General features: G+C 39.2%; 1 protein-coding gene and 2 pseudogenes across 24 annotated transcripts in view, besides 1 other annotated feature; 2 read left to right on the top strand and 1 right to left on the bottom strand.

Moving 5' to 3' along the window:
• The window catches only part of ZBTB44 (zinc finger and BTB domain containing 44), an 88,241-nt gene that overhangs the window by 14,797 nt on the left and 58,506 nt on the right, over window positions 1–14,938 (top strand). For 2 of the 24 annotated variants that reach the window (XM_047426843.1, XM_047426842.1), the window contains exon 1: window positions 5,584–11,349. The exons of the other annotated variants lie outside the window; for them this stretch is intronic. The gene's annotated coding sequence lies outside the window, so the exon portion shown is untranslated. Of the gene's footprint in view, window positions 1–5,583; window positions 11,350–14,938 lie in introns of those variants that run through there. 24 annotated transcript variants of the gene reach the window in all.
• Window positions 2,737–5,120, bottom strand: DDX18P5 (DEAD-box helicase 18 pseudogene 5; annotated as a pseudogene).
• Window positions 3,978–4,510: an enhancer, noted in NCBI's record as "OCT4-NANOG hESC enhancer chr11:130165506-130166038 (GRCh37/hg19 assembly coordinates)". NCBI's record gives its function as "activates a minimal SCP1, AML or CMV promoter by ChIP-STARR-seq in primed H9 embryonic stem cells {active_cell/tissue: H9 hESC(primed)}" and the evidence as "EXISTENCE:reporter gene assay evidence [ECO:0000049][PMID:30033119]".
• NDUFAF2P2 (NDUFAF2 pseudogene 2) lies at window positions 14,237–14,529 on the top strand (annotated as a pseudogene).

Raw genomic sequence — 14,938 nt, 5'->3', positions numbered from 1 at the left:
CTCTGAATTTGAGTGTCCTCTAAGTACATCGTGTAATCGGAATCATATGGTATTTGTTCCTTAATTATTGGTTTATTTCACTCGCATAATGTCTTCAAGGTTTGTTTGTGTTGCAGCATGTATCTGAATTTCCTTCCTTTTTAAGGCTGAATAATATTCCATTGTGTATTTATGCCACATCTCATTAATTCATTCATCTCTTGTGGACATTTGGGTTGCTTCTACCTTTTGGCTGTTGTGAATAATGCTGCTTTGAATATTAATGTACAAATACTGGTGTGTCCTTGCTTTCACTTCTTTTGGGTATCTACCCAGAAATGGAATTGCTGGATCATATGGTAATTTCTATTTTTTATTTTTTGAGGAGCCCCTCTATACTGTTTTCTATAGTGGCTATGCCATTTTACATTCCCACCAACCATGCACAAGGATTTTAATTTCTCCACATCCTTGCCAAGACTTGTTATTTTGTTTTTTTTTTTTACTATTACATTAGACATTCAAATGGGTATGAGGTGGTAAGTCATTGATATTTAGAGACCATCATTTTTTTTTTTTTTTTGTCCCCGAGACGAAGTCTCGCTCTGTCACCCAGGCTGGAGTGCAATGGCACGGTCTCGGCTCACTGCGACCTCTGCCTCCTGGGTTCAAGTGATTCTCCTGCCCCAGCCTCCCAAGTAGCTGGGATTACAGGTGCGTGCCACTATGCCTAGCTGAATTACAGTTAAAAATATATTCCAGTTTCCTTTGTTGATTCCTTATTTGACCAGCCCATGGGTTATTATTTAGAAGTGCATTGTTTAATTTCCAGATATTTAGGGCTTTCTTGATATTTTATTACTTATTTTTTTCTGTTTTGGTGAAAGAACATACTCTGTGCATTCATTCCTTTAAAATTTATTAAGATTTGTCTTATGGCCCAGCATATGATCTTTCTTGGTGAACATACCACTTTGCACTTGAAAAGAATGTATATTCTGTACTATAAATGTCAATGTGGTGACGATGATTGCCCTTTACAGTTTTTTTTAATGTTTTGAGACAGGGTCTCACTCTGTTACCCAGGCTGGAGTGCAGTGGATCGATCTTGGCTCACTGTAACCTCCACCTCCCAGGGTTAACAAATCCTCTCACCTCTGCCTCCCAAGTAGCTGGCACTATAGGTGCATGCCACTATGTGTGGCTAATTTTTGTATTTTTTGTAGAGATGGGTTTCACCATGTTTCCCAAGCTGCAGATCTTTTATCTTTACTGATGGTTTTGTGTGTGTGTGTGTGTGTGTGTGTGTCTGGGTGTCTGTGTGTCTGTGTGGTTCAGTTCTATAATTGCAGAGAGGTGATATTAAAATCTTCAACTATTGCTGGGCGTGGTGGCTCACGCCTGTAATCCTAGCACTTTGGGAGGCTGAGGCAAGCGGATAACCTGAGGTTAGGAGTTCGAGACCAGCTTGGCCAACATGGTGAAACTCCGTCTCTACTAAAAATACAAAAAGTGGCCAGGCGTGGTGGCACGTACCTGTAGTCCCAGCCACTTGGGAGACTGAGACAGGAGAATCGCTTGAACCCAGGAGTTGAAGGTTGCAGTGAGCCAAGATCATGCCACTGCACTCCAGCCTGGGTGACAGAGCGAGACTCAGTCTTTAAAAAAAAAAAAAAAAAAAAAAAACTTCAACTTTTGGCCGGGCATGGTGGCTCACACCTGTAATCTCAGCACTTTGGGAAGCTAAGGTGGGTGGATTCGTTGAGCCCCAGGAGTTTGAGACCAGCCTGGGCAACATAATGAAACCCTGTCTCTACAAGAAAATACAAAAATCATCTGGGTGAGGTGGTGCATGCCTGTAGTCCCAGCTATTCAGGAAGCTAAGGTGGGAGGATTGCTTGAGTTCGGGAGGTCCAGGCTGTGTGTGTTGTGATTGTGCCTCTGCACTCTAATCTAGGCAACAGAGTAAGACCCTATCTCAAAAAAAAAAAATCATCAATTATTATTGTGGAATTATCTTTCCCTTTAATTTTGTCAGTGTTTTATTTTGAAGCATACACATTTTTTATTACTCACCTCTATCTTTGATAATACTTTGTCTTAAGTCTGCTTTATCTGATATTAAAGTAAGCCAACTCCAGCTTTCTTGTACGTACTGTTTGCATGATATATGTTCTTCCATATCTGTCTTTTTTTATTTAAAGTGTGTTTCTTATAAAAAACATATATTTGAGAATGCTTTTATCTCTTCTGACAATCTGTGACTTTTAGTCAAAACATTTAGTTTATTAAAAAGCAACATGTATTAGTTTGCTAGGGTGCCGTAACAAACTATGACGAAGTAGGTGGCTGTTAACAGAAATTTTTGTCTCATAGTTGTGGAGCCTTGAAGTTCGAAATCAGGCATAGGTAGGGTTGGTTCCTCCTGAGGACCATGAGGGAAGCATCTCTTGTTCCACGTCTCTTTGCTTCTGGTAGTGCCTTGGCTTGTCTTCATGGGGCATCCTCCCTATGTGCATGTCTGTCTACAAATGTCCCCTTTATACGAGGACACCTTAATGATCTCCCTTGAACTTGATTACCTCTATAAAGACTCCATTTCCAAATAAGGTCCCATTCTGAGGCACTGGGGTTTAGGACCTCAACGTATCTTTTTAGAGAACCCAATTCAACCCCATACCAAGACATATATAAAGTTAACTGCTTGTGCAGAGGTAAGTTGGCGAAAGCCACAGTACTTGTGTACATATTTTTTTAAAAGGTACAAAAATTTAATTATATTAAAACAGTAACATACATTTGTGTGTATGAGGGAGGGATATTTAAAATTAAAATATTATATAATCACAAGAAAGACCTAATATTCTTGCTCTGCTCTTGGGCAACCAAGAAAATTAGAGCCTGTTTTATATCCCAAAAATAAAAAGAGACTTGATAGAAGTTACAGTGCTCAGTGCTTGCAACCCAAGTCAATTTATGCTCTTGTTAGATAAGTTTAAATTCTAAAGGCTACAAAAATCTTATTAAATCAAGGGGAAAAAATTCATTTTAGAACAGTTATTCAAGATGAAAGAAAGGCATGTCTTCAATGAGAGAGCTGCCTGCTATCGGATGATTTCTTGCTAATGTGTTTAAAGATTTTGGACTTCTCAACTTTCTTGATTTTCTGGTAGTCAAATCCACCACCACCTCCTCGCTTTTTCTGCTTGCCTTCATTGCCATTGACATTCAGATCAACAAAGGCAGGCACTTTGAAATCAAATGGCAGAGCAACTTGAGGCAAATTTAAGTTATTTACATTAAAGATCTGTTTCAGAGAATGGGAATCATAACCTCATATGTATGACTTATATGCTTCCTGGGCTGACTTACAAAGAAAGTAGTTCTTTTCAATCAATTTCTCAAGCTGAGACTGAATGTCAGAAATTTTAGACCAGGAAAAGTCAAATTCACTTAATGGAACCTTGGATTGTTTCAAGTAGAAGAAAACCCAATTATTCTGGGCCCAAAATGGGCAAGGCATGTCTTCTCCCATTTAGGCCTCTGGCTGTTCTACCTACACGATGAATATATTCCTTAGGGTCATCCGGATGGTCATAGTGAACAATCCAGTTGACTTGAGGAATGTCCAGTCCTCTTGCCACCACATCCGTACACAATGTGTTCCCAAATCTGTGTTGCAGAACTGGAAGAATGTGGTCGTACATTTATTTTGCTTTTGCTTTCCATGAATGGCCAAGACGGGCAAATCAATGTAGTTCAGCAACTCATAGTGGTATTTCACGGACATACAAGATGAAAAGAAGACCACGAGCTTCTTTCGGTTCTTCTTAAGGAATGTAAAGAGCAGAAGGAATCTCTTTTCAGAAGGACAAACAACATATCCCTGCTCAAGACCATCCACTGTTGTATTAGCTTTATCATCATCAACACTAACATACAATGGCTCCTTTTTTCAGAGAAATCCTTGCCAACCTTCAAAACTTTTCGAGTTTGGGTGGCAGAAAAGAGCATAGTCTGTCTACATGTTGGCAAAAGTTTAATAATTTGCTTTAATTCCTCTTCATACCCAACATCCAAGATACGATCAGCTTCATCAATAACCAGACACTGCAGGTTTTTATACATAAACCCTGGGATATTCTGCATATGATACAGCAGACGGCCTGGTGTGGCCACAGTGATGTTGATCCCATTAGCAAGTTTCTGTGCTTCAGCAGATCCGTTACTGCCACCCATTATCAACCCATAGGTATGCACGTGGTGAGTCTTTAGCTCCTTAAGAACACCAAAAATTTGCATGGCTAATTCTCTAGTAGGTGAGAGAACAAGGACTCCGCATGCATTCCTGGGCATGAATTTTAACAATGAGTTCTACTGCAGGTTTGAGAAAAGCCAGGGTTTTACCACTGCCTGTTTTTGCAGCTGCTAGAAGATCCCTGCCTTCCAGAAGTGGTCTGATACTTTCATGCTGAATTTCAGTCATGTTGGTAAAACCCATTTTTTTTTTTAACTTCAGAGTTTTCATTGACAATATTATGTAGAGAAGCAAATGAAGTATCCTCAAATGCTCCTGTGAGTCCCAGGGGCAGGCTGGGCACCTCACTGTCATCTTCATCATTATCTGGCTTCTCTACGTTATTTTCTGTTTCTTTAGGAGTCTCGGCACTTTCTTCTCAGATTCCTCTTTGTTTTCAGTTTTTGCTTTTTTTGTATCAGTCCCAGCATCATTCACCATTTTTCTCTTTTGATTCTGAATTGGGAGACTGCATTGCTGCTTCTCCATTGGTTAATACGGTGGATTTCTGGGGAGATTTTTTAGGTTTTATATCTTCCACTGCCTCTTGAGACATGTCTCCATTTGGAGCTTCTGATAAGCCCACATTCATAGAATGTTTTCATTTTTTAACCCTTCTACCTCTCATTGTTTCTTCAGACACATCTGCATTTTGAGTTTCTGACAGGGTCAGATTTGAGGCCCCTGCAACTTTAGGTTCTGGTGCCGCAGTTTGAGTTTCTGCTTCTTGATCTTCTTGCGCAGGAGTTTTTCATTGGCAGGTGAGACATTGCTGTCCAAGAAGTGCCTAGATCACGACGTCACACAGTACAGCTACTCAGTTCTCGGGGCTGACGTTGCTTCCACTTGTATACATATTTTAAAGCGTATATGCAGTTGAACTCTTGAGTACTTGGTGTGGACGCTTAAAAACTCTTTAGGGAAAATAAGGAGCTCTTTAAATGCTAGTTGACTAAAACTGACTTGAATTTTACTTGCTCATGTAAGGAGCCAAATGGATGAATAAGATAGATAGGCCCTCTATTCAGTCTTTCTTTCTAGATAAAATAATATGATGTGAATAGCAGATATCCCTTAAGTACTCTGATTAACCTGTTTTGCCTACCGTTCCATTATTGGAACACTAAGCATGTGGGAGTTATTTCTGTCCTGCTCAAGGTCATCGCTAAGGTCTGATTGCAAAAATTCAAATAATTGCAACCTCTGGCATAAATGGGTTAAATTATTATAAACAACAACATAATGGGGTGGGGAGAAATAACTGGGAATTGAAGATTTTTTTTTTTTTTTTTTTTTTTTTTTTTTTGGTCATATAGACCTTTGTGTAAATCCTGGTTTTGTTAACTTAGTTATAGGGAAATGGACAATTTAATTTGATTTTCTGTCTCCTCATTTAACACTGGATTTATTTTTATTTTTATTTTTATTTTTTTAAGACAGAGTCTCTCTCTGTCACCCAGGCTGGAGGGCAGTGGCGTGATCTCAGCTCACTGCAACTTCTGCCCCCCAGGTTCAAGCAATTCTTGTGCCTCAGGCGCCTGAGTAGTAGCTGGGGTTACAGGCGTGCACCACCACACCCAGCTAATTTTTGTATTTTTAGTAGAGACGGGGTTTCGCTGTGTTGGCCAGGCTGGTCTCAAACTCCTGGCCTCAAGAGATCCACCCATCTCGGCCCCACAAAGTACTGGGATTACAGGTGTGAGTTACCGTGCCCGGCCTATAACTGGATATAAAAAATCCTTTTACCAGAGTTTGTGAGTCCAGAGTGAGATAGTGACACTTGGTGGGAGTTATTCAATGTACATTAATTTATCTTCTCTTGATGTAGAAAGTAACAATCAGCATGACTTGGTGACTACTAACAAGGAGAGGAAATTCTAATCATTTAATGTTTCTGATTTAATTGATTTATTGATAACTCTCCATTACTTTTTCAAATCTCTGAACTAGAAAGGGCTTATTCATAGAGTAAAATGATTAGAATCTTTGTTTCATTGAAAAACAACTAGTTATAAAATGGTTTTTTTGTTTGTTTGTTTGTTTGTTTTGAGATGGAATTTCGCTTTTGTTGCCCAGGCTGGAGTGCAATGGTGCAGTCTTGGCCCACGGCAACCTCCGCCTCCCAGGTTCAACTGATTCTCCTGCCTCAACCTCCCAAGTAGCTGAGATGACGGCGTGCACCACCATACCCAGCTAATTTCTTTCTTTTTTTTTTTTTTTTTCTTTAAGTAGAGATGGAGTTTCATCATGTTGGCCAGGCTGGTCTCAAACTCCTGACCTCAGGTGATCCACCTACCTTGGCCTCCCAAAGTGCTGGGATTATAGGTGTGAGCCACCACACCCGGCCAAATGGTCTTTTTTTTTTTTTTTTTTGATACAAGATCTTGCTGTCATCCCGGCTGGAGTGCAGTGGTGAAATCACAGCTCACTGTAGTCTCAACCTCCCAGGCTCAAGTGATCCTCCTGCCTCAGCCTCTTGTGTAGCCAGGACTACAGGTGCACAGCACCACACTTAGCTAATTTTTTTTTTTTTTTTTTAATTTTTAGTAGAGACAAGTTCTCTCTGTGTTGCCCAGGCTGGTCTTGAACTCCTAGGCTCAAATGAGCTTCCTGCCTTGGCCTCCCAAAGTGCTGGGATTATATGCATGAGCCATTGTTCCAGGCCTAAAATTATCTTTTTACAACTCAGATAAAGTAGTCCATTTGAAATTCTCCTTGAAAACTTAAAAAACACTTAAGGGAAGTAAACTAGTGTGAAATAAAGATCACAAAACACTTTCAGTAGTGTTCAGAAAAAGAAAAAGCATGTTCCCAAATATGAGTTCTCATGTAAATCTAATCTAAAAACTTGGTTCATATCATGGGAAAATGCCTTTACTTAGATTGATAAGAGTGACAAGTTTAGAGCAAAATATAAAATATGAGGTACTGCTCTATTTGTAAAGTAAAAAAGAGTCTTAATAGTGAGAAACGTCTTATTTTAATAACTTTTGGTGGGGTGGGTGAGTTGTAATTTTCACTAGTTTGAGTACACGTATACATTTTCCATGTAAGTTTAACATGAAGTTTCTACGTTGAGCTGTGGTTCTTCCATTCCTAAATCAATTGTTTTAACAGGTTTCCTGCAAAACGTTTGTATGTTGTGTATGTTACACTCTTAAAATACTAATTTATATGTTTTGTTTATCATTTGCAATTAAGCTTTTAATAATAATGTGATTGAACATAAAAGAATAATACGCTTATCCCAAAAATAAGCACCGTAAATCAAGAACATTTATTCAGCAATTTTTCAATGCACACTTTTATTTATTTTTTTAATTTTTAATTTTTTTCTTATGATCTTGTTGCATACCAGTGTATGTACTCTTTTAGGCAGTTATAGAATATAGACAAGGCTCAGCCTTTTCTGTCAAGTCTCATTAGGCCCATGGGTGAGCAAAATCTGTAAACTACTTACTGATCACTTGTATGTAAAGTATTATACTGGTGGATAGTGACTTTTTTTATGGAATCACTGCAGTATAATAAGCCATATTAAGAGTATAACACATAAATGGTATAGAAACAGAAATAATTAAGAACATCTGCTGGTTTGTCCACACAAATCTTGTACACAAATGTGCATAGCGGCTTTATTCGTAATAGCCCAACTGCAAACAACTCAAGTCTATCAACAATTAAATGATAAACAGATTGTGTTACATCCATGCAATGAAATAGTATTCAGCAATAAAAAGAACAAAAATCCTTACGCTCAACAGCATGGATGAATCTCAGAATAATTATGTCCATGAAAGAAGCCAGAAAAAAAGAGTACATACTATATAATCCCATTTATATAAAATTCTAGAAAATGGAGCTACTAAAGTGTAAAGCACATTGATAATTCCTGGCAAGGACAGGAAGGTGAGACTGCAAAGAAACTTACAGAAATTGTGGCAGTATTCCTTATCTTGATTGTGGTGGTGATATATATGTTATAACTCATCAAATTGTCCACTATGCAGTTTATTGTACATGAATTATATCAGGAAAGCATTCATAAAGTGATTTTTAAAGAACCTATGCTGGAAGTACAGATGTGATTGATTCCATAAATATATTGGAATAATCCTTGGAGAGATTAGAGTGTATACCCTGGTAAACCTAAATTGATATGCTATCAAACACAGGATCAGTGAGTCCCAACAGAACTACCACCAGAGTTCAGTGTAGAGAAAGACAGCTTGGTTTAATGATAAAATGAGGATAGGATTTAATTAAAGTCAGAGGCTCTGAATTTGAATCCCTGTTAGGCCATATTTTCTCTAATCTTTATTTTTCTCATCTTTAGTTTCATTAAGATTTTAAGATCCAAAGAATATATTTGAAAGTACATCTGAAAGTGACATAAAAATGGAAGGCTGGCCGGGCGCGGTGGCTCACACCTGTAATCCCAGCACTTTGGGAGGCCGAGGTGGGCGGATCCCAAGGTCAGGAGCTCGAGACCAGCCTGGCCAACATAGTGAAACCCTGTCTCTACTAAAAATACAAAAATTAGCTGGGTATGGTGGCACGCGCCTATAATCCCAGCTACTCAGGAAGCTGAGGCACGAGAATTGCTTGAATCCGGGAGGCAGAGGTTCAAGCAATTCAAGAGCCAAGATTGCACCACTGCACTCCAGCCTGGGCAACAGAATGAGACTCCGTCTCAAAAAAAAAAACAACAAAGGCTTTCCTGACATTTAGCTTAGAAGGGAAAACAAAATAAAGTAGAATTTGACCTGTGGAGATCAGTGAGGAGGGAATTCCAAAAAGGGACCAGAGCTGGGAGAGTGGGAATATGTATGATACATATGGAAAATGATGAGTCAAAAGCAGTTTAGGGCAAAGAGTTCATTTTGCAGAGCAGGGAGGGAGAGATAGCAGCCTAAAGTATCTAAAAGCATAATAGAGAGATTATAAAATAGCGAGAAAGTTTACCATCAGGATATAAGTTGCTGTTACTAGCCCTGTAAGCTTAGCCAAGTCATTTAATTCTCTGAGCCTCAATTTCCCCATCAATGTAATGGGAGATAATAATAGTTCTGCCAGATCTCAAGGATTTTATGTATTTAAATCAGTCCATGTCAGATGTGATAGAGTGTAGGATAGTACTGAAAAGTACCAAGTACTGTTGATAGTTCAGCGTGATTATCAAGCTGTGGGCTAATAAGTGTCTGGACTCAGATAATTGTATTTTAGAGACAGTTTAAATAACAGTAAAGATTAATATAAGGCCGGTGAGACTGAAGGCAAGGAAATCAATCAGGATGCTGTTTCAGTAGTCCAAGGCAGAGGCAGAGGCAGTGGCAGTGGAGAAAGGAAGGGATGGATTTGAGATAGGTCTTGGTGACCAGGTCTGTGTTAGGAGGAAAAGGGGAAGAGAAATTGTATTAGTTTTCTGTGGCTGTTGTAATTAATTATCACAAATTAGATGGCTTAAAACAACGAAGTAATTTCCTCACAGAAGCTTGAAATAATCATAACTGGGTTGAGATCAAGATGTTGGCAAGTGCTCCTTCCCTCCGAAGGATCTAGGAGAGAAACCATTCCTTGCCTCTTGCAGCTTATGTGGGCTGCAGGCATATTCATCTTGTGACTATATCATTCATCACTGGTCTTCACGTTGCTACACCACCTCCTCTTCCCCACTTTTCACCTTCTCCTGTGTGTGCCAAGTCTACATCTGCCTTCCTTGTATAAGGAGACTTGTGACTGTATTTAGGGCCCACCTGGGTAATCTGGGATAATCTCCCCATTCCAAGATATTTCATCACATCTGCAAAGCCATAAAGGTATCATTCACAAATTCAAGGGATTAGAACATGGACATTTGGGGGTTTTAGCTTTTTGGAGCTGGTCCTGTCATTGACCAGAGTACTTGAAAAAGAAGAATGCATTTTTGAGAGATGATAATGAATTCACTTGGGATCTGCTGAAGTACCTATGGGCCATGTGTATGAGGGTATTCAATTTATGTTATCAGAAAACCTCGAATCAGGTGGCTTAAACAATACGGACATTTATTTAAAACAAAAAACAGCCTCAGAGTTGGTTAAATTAGCAATTCAGTGACATCCTTGAGGACATACGTTCTTGCTTTGCCATCCTTAGGCTGGCTCTCCTATGGTAACAAAACGATCCCCACAATTCTAGGCCTTCAATACAGATATGCAAATTTAGTTGGCTTGTTTTGTGTGCCCCACCCCCACCTTTTTTTTTTTAAAGTCTGCAAGGAAACCTAACTTCTGAAGCTACCCATTAGCTTCTATTTTTCTTGGCCAGATAAACATTCTCTTGACCACCGTCTTTTACCTAAATCTTTTTTTTTTTTTTTTTGAGGCAGAGTCTTGCTCTATTGCCCTGGAGCTGGAAGTGCAGTGGGATCTCGGCTCACTGCAACCTCCACCTCCGAGTTCAAGCAATTCTCCTGCCTCAGCCTCTTGAGTAGCTGGGATTACAGGCATGCGCCACTGTGCCTGACGAATTTTTGTATTTTTAGTAGAGACGGGGTTTCACCATGTTGGCCAGGCTAGTCTTGAACTCCTGACCTCAGGTGACCCACATTCCTCAGCCTCCCAGAGTGCTGGGATTACAGGCGTGAGCCACCGCACCCAGCCACCTAAATTTTTTATATCTACGTTGCAGATTTGTTCAGGTAAGGGACCCCTGCCTCAAATACACAAACATTACACCCATCCATCTTCAGTGACAAATGGCAAAACAGACCTCTTGAGCACTTCCCACATCACATTGTTTTACTACTTTTTGCTATGCAGATTTGGTAGAATCTTGCAGATGTGGAACTGTCTTTCTGTGGTTTATTTAAACAGCAGTCCATTCACCTTGCTTAGTCTTGTTTTAAGTTCTTGTCTACAAATTCCTAACCATGTCCTCATTTTCTTTTTCTTTTTTTTTTTTTTTAAGACGGAGTCTCGCTCTGTCACCCACGCTGGAGTGCAGTGGTGTGATCTCAGCTCACTGCAACCTCCGCCTCCCGGGTTCAAGCGATTCTCGTGCCTCTGCCTCCCAAGTAGCTGGGATTACAGGTGCGTGTCACCATGCCTGGATAATTTTTGTATTTTAGTAGAGACAGGGTTTCACCATGTTGAGCAGGCTGATCTCGAACACCTGACCTCAGGTGATCTGCCTGCCTCGGCCTCCCAAAGTGCTGGGATTACAGGCATGAGCCACCGCACCAGGCCTGTGTCCTGATTTTTAACATTAAACTTGAAAGCAGTGGTTAATGTAGTCTGAGGACTCTCCTGGGGATCCCGAGAACCTTTTAGAGAGTACGTGAGATTAAAACAGTCTTCTAGCAGTGTTTTAAGACACTACTTGCCATTTTTCTTTCTTATTCTTAGATATACAATGGAGTTTTCCAGAGGCTACCTACTTGAAATGTTATTTTTTTATTTTATTTTATTTATTTATTTATTTTTTTCCCGAGACAGAGTCTGGCTCTGTCACCCAGGCTGGAGAACAGTGGCATGATCTCGGCTCACTGCAACCTCTACCTCCTGGGTTCAAGTGATTCTCCTGCCTCAGCCTCCCAAGTAGCTGGGACTACAGGTGTGCGCCACCACACCCGGCTAATTTTTATATTTTTGGTAGAGACGGGGGTTTCACCATGTTGGCCAGGCTGGTCTTGAACTCCTGACCTCAGGTGATCTGCCTGCCTCAGCCTCCCATAGTGCTGAGATTACAGGTGTGAGCCACTGTGCTCAGCTGAAGTGTGATACTGTAACAGACTTAACACATGTGAGAATTCAGCTGATTTCCAATAAGCCAGACTTAAAGAGATTTTCAAAAATCAGTGCTACTCTTGCCTTTTTCTTTCTTTTTTTTTTTTTTTGTCTGAGAAAATTTAGTTTCTTGAAAACTATGTTGTCTTAAAATGTACTGTTATTTTTAGGTGAATAATTTTTTAAATTTCTAAGTTTTAATTTATAATACGGTAAATATTTTTAGATATAGTTCATGTAAATAAAAGCTCTTTTGGGTTCTCAATAAATTTTAAGAGTGTAAAGAGGCCTGAGATTCGAGTTTAAAATCCGCTGTCTAGTGTTAATCCCACTCTAACCACATACTCCAAAGTTTTTCCATTTCTCCAATCATTATTTCCTTCTCTTACTATTATCAGTTATCATGTAGGTATATCATCTTCATATGTTGCAGGATTTGTTGCAAGTACTTTAGAGTCATTCATTCTATTTAATATTGATCCCATTTATGGGAGCAGAAGCTTTCTTATTCTTTATTAATATGTCTCTGCATTTTATTTCCAACACTTACCTCTGTTTGTTAGTACTTTCACCATTCTTACTGTTTTTGTGCTTATCGAACATGCTGGATTTAGTAATATACCTCAAAACTAAGCACAGAGAAAAAACTAATGAAGACTAGAGAGCTAAGACTTACATGACCACACAAGTCCATTATTATCATCTCTTGGTAATAGGCATAGTTAACACTCTTGCTCTGAGAAATGACTTTGATTTATGATAAACATTTATAAGTGGGGAGTATCTGTAATTTTTATAAACTTGGCTGTGAAGGGAGAGTGCCTGATGGATGATACCCAGTTTTGATGGGAGGTGAGGGATGGGGCATGGAGAATCAAAAATGAGTACTAGATTTTAAGCTATGGGTGACTGAGCAATTGAAGGTGTCCATGATTAACAGATTAAGAAATTCTGTAGTGGTATGTTAGTTGGGTAATAATTTGAGTTTGTTTTCAGACATTGAATTTGCAAGATGGCGAACACATTCAGATGGAATTGTCTAGCACTCTAGCTGGTCAGTAGAAGCCCAGAATTGACATTCAGAGGGATATTGCTGAGATTTTAGTCAAAGGTGGTAGAGTCAGAGATCTGTCAATAATGATAGCTTATCTGTTAATCACTGCTGCACCATATTCTTATATAAACAGTCTGTGCTGGGCACTGGGCTCTTTACATAGACTCATCTCATTGAATCTGTATGACAGTCCTCAGAAAGCTCACTTGTTTAAGGTCATCCAGCCACTACAGTCATATAACCATGATTAACATGCAGGTCTGTCTGAACTAAAAAGCTGTTGTTCTACCTAGTGGACATGCTGTCTCCAGGCAACGTTAATATATTCATTGATAATTGAATTGAATGTGAAATACTCAAAGCCTAATTATGCATGAGGTGAAGAAATCTGTCACTGAGTTTTGGGTAATATGAAAAGACTATAATTCTTTTAATTAATGCTTAGTAATGTGTCAGAAGATTCAAATGTATTTATCCTTGGAGCAATCTTCTGTAGTTCAAAGGGACAGGGATACCACGAGTGTCTATGGCAGATCTAGAATTAGAAACCTTAATAGGAATTGAGTAGTTATAGTGTGAGATATAATTTATGGGGAAAATTTCAGGTAGTAAGTTTCAGAGACTATTCAAATTAATAGATTTTTTTTAAGTTTATTGTAATTTTAAAAATACATTTACAGGTCAAAAAGTATGTATTTTTCTGGGATATTCAGATAATCAGAATAGGCTAATATCTGTCATTTTCACAGTCACTTTTTTCTCTTTAGGTTGTTAGGCAGCAAATAACTACAGCTAAGGACTCAGCTTTTAATATTCTGGCCCATTGGTGATTTTTTCATTTTTTTAAAGATCACTTTGTTACAGAATTTGCCTGATTTCGTCTCAGTCTGATAATTTAGAAAGGAATTGACTGTAATGAGTCCTAACATTTTTCCACATCAATCTTTTTAGTTGTGTAGTTTGTCACTTTTCGGATAGTTGATTTACTGCTTTGAACAGATCGAATATGAGTTTTAGAAGTAGTAAGATTTTTATTCCAACAAGAACAGTTCCTTTATAGAAACAAGTTTTCTTACACTATTATCAAATCACTAGAAAGAATACTTGTAGGTGGGCTGGATCAGTGGCTGGAGCATTACCCCTGCTGCATACTGGCTGCTAGCAGTTCTGAGAGCAGAGTGGACAGCACGGGTTGGTCTCAGGATTTGTTGTGTGCCTTGTGGATATCACTGTCAAAAGAAGTATAGGAGCATGTGGGCATGAACTGGTTTGGGAACAAATACTACTCTATTCCAGAGTACAAGAACTGGAGAGGTGAGGACAAACTATTCAAGAGAAAAGAATTGTAGAAGCAGCAAATAAAAAATTAGACTGTGAAGTAGGGGATATTCCAACAGAATGGGAAGCTTAGATCAGAAGAACAAAAAAGAGGCTGGGTGTGGTGGCTCACGCCTGTAATCCCAGCACTTTGAGAGGCCAAGGCAGGCAGATCACCTGAGGTCAGGAGTTCGAGACCAGCCTGGCCAACATGGTGAAACCTCATCTCTACTAAAAATACAAAAATTAGCCAGTCATGGTGGTGCACGCCTGTAATCCCAGCTACTCAGGAGGCTGAGGCAGGAGAATCACTTGAACCCGGGAAGCGGAGGTTGCAGTGAGCCGAGATTGTGCCACGGCATTCCAGCCTGGCCAACGAGAGCGAAACTCTATCTCAAAAAAAAAAAAAAAAAAGAAAACAAGAATAACTCCACCTACGATGGAGGAAATACTAAAGAATGAAAAATACAGAGAAGAAATTAAAAAGCAAAGATTTTTATGAAAACCAAAAACTCCTTAGTA

Source organism: Homo sapiens, chromosome 11 (genome assembly GCF_000001405.40).
Source record: "Homo sapiens chromosome 11, GRCh38.p14 Primary Assembly".
NCBI classification, from domain to species: Eukaryota; Metazoa; Chordata; class Mammalia; order Primates; family Hominidae; genus Homo; species Homo sapiens.
This window is presented reverse-complemented; position numbering and strand designations above follow the sequence as displayed.